Below are 1,888 nucleotides of genomic sequence, written 5' to 3'. Positions count from 1 at the left end.
TATTATCGCTTTAAACTGCTTCTCAAAATGTGCCCCAAATGCTATGGTGAGACATGTTTCCTGGGCCTCTGTTGTCTTTTATGATACCTTTGTGCAAATTAGACAAAAGAGACCCTCTGGATGGTCTCCACAAAAGCATGGCTTGGAGAGCTGACTATACATTTTTTTAAATTGTGGTAAAATACTGATAACATTTATCATCTTAACCATTTTTTAGTGTACAGTTCTTAGTGTTAAGTATAACCACATTGTTGTGCAACCAATCTCCACATCATTTTCATCTTGCAAAACCAAAACCCTGTATCCATTAAAGAACTCCCCACTTTGCCTCTACCCAGCCCCTGGCAACCACCATTCTACTTTTTATGAATGTGACCACTCTAGGTACCTTATTATAAGTGGACTCATACAGCATTTGTCTTTTTGTGATTGTCTTATTTAATTTAGCAAGATGTCCTCAAGGTTCATCCATAACATAGCGTATGTCAGAATTCCCTTCCTTTTTAAGAATAAATAATATTCTATTCTGTGTATATACCACATTTTGTTTTTCTGTTCATCCGACAATTGCTTCCACCCTTTCGCCATTGTGGATAATGCTTTATGGACGTTAATGTACAAATATCTCTTTAAGACCATGCTTTCAAATCTTTTGAGATCCTGCTTTGAATCTTTTAGCTGTATATTCAGAAGCAGTATTGCTGGATCCCATGATATTTCTGTTTTTAATTTTTTGATAAACCACCATACTGTTTCCACAGCAGCTGCACCATTTTACATTCCCGCCAAGAGTGCACAAACGAAGGTTCCAATTTCTCTGCATCCTCAGCAACACTTCTTATTTTCTGTATTTGTTGTTGCTGTTTGTTATTTTATAGTAGCCAGGGTGTGAGGTGACATCTCATTGTGGTTTTGTTTTGCATTTCCCTAATGATCAGTGACATTGAGCATCTTTTCATAGGCTTGTTGGCCATTTTGTATCTGCTTTTAATAATGTCTATTCAAGTTCTTTGAACATTTCTTAATCAGATTGGTTGTCTTCTTTATCATTGAGTTGTAGGAATTCTTTGTATGTTCTGGATATTAACTTCTTATTAGGTGTATGGTTTACAAACATTTTCTCTCATCCCATTAATTACTTTTTTACTCTATTGATTGTGTCCTTTGGTGAACAGAAGTTTTTAATTTTGATGTAGTCCAGTTTATCTATTTTTGCTCTCTATTTGCCTGTCTTTTCGGTGTCATACCCAAGAAGTCATTGCCAAATTCAACAACATGATGCATTTGCTATTTCTTCTAAGAGTTTTGTAGTTTTAGCATTATGTTTAGGTCTTTAATCCCTTTTGATTTAATTTTTGTATATGGCATGAGGTAAGAGTTCAACTTCATTCTTTTGCATATGAATATGCATTTTTCCAATAAACATCATTTGTTGGGAAAACTGTCCCTTCTTTCATCAAATAATCTTGGCTCCCTTTTCAAAAATTATTTAACCATATATGTGAGGGTTTATTTCTGGACTTTCTACTCTAGCCTATTGATCTACACCAGTTTGATGTACCACACCACTTTGATTACTGTAGTTTTGTGATAAGTTTTGAAATCAGGAAGTATGAGACCTCCAACTTTGTTCATTTTCAATATTGTTTTGGCTAGAAGGGGGAGACTGCATTTCTAGCAAGCGAGAAAAATGCAGGCCTTCCCTCTGGGATGCAGCCCTGCACTGGAGCACCCAGCACACTTAGCAGAGCTGGCCCCTCACCTGAGAAATCGGGGAAGAGGGCCGCCTGCACTTCCAGATATGGAGGCCCTGCCACTCAGCAAATGCTGCTTGAAGATGAAGGACTCATTCATTCTTCTAAATCTGGTCAACTCTTCCCTTTACTGA

The sequence above is a fragment of the Homo sapiens genome, chromosome 10, assembly GCF_000001405.40.
Source record: "Homo sapiens chromosome 10, GRCh38.p14 Primary Assembly".
NCBI classification, from domain to species: domain Eukaryota; kingdom Metazoa; phylum Chordata; class Mammalia; order Primates; family Hominidae; genus Homo; species Homo sapiens.
This window is presented reverse-complemented; position numbering follows the sequence as displayed.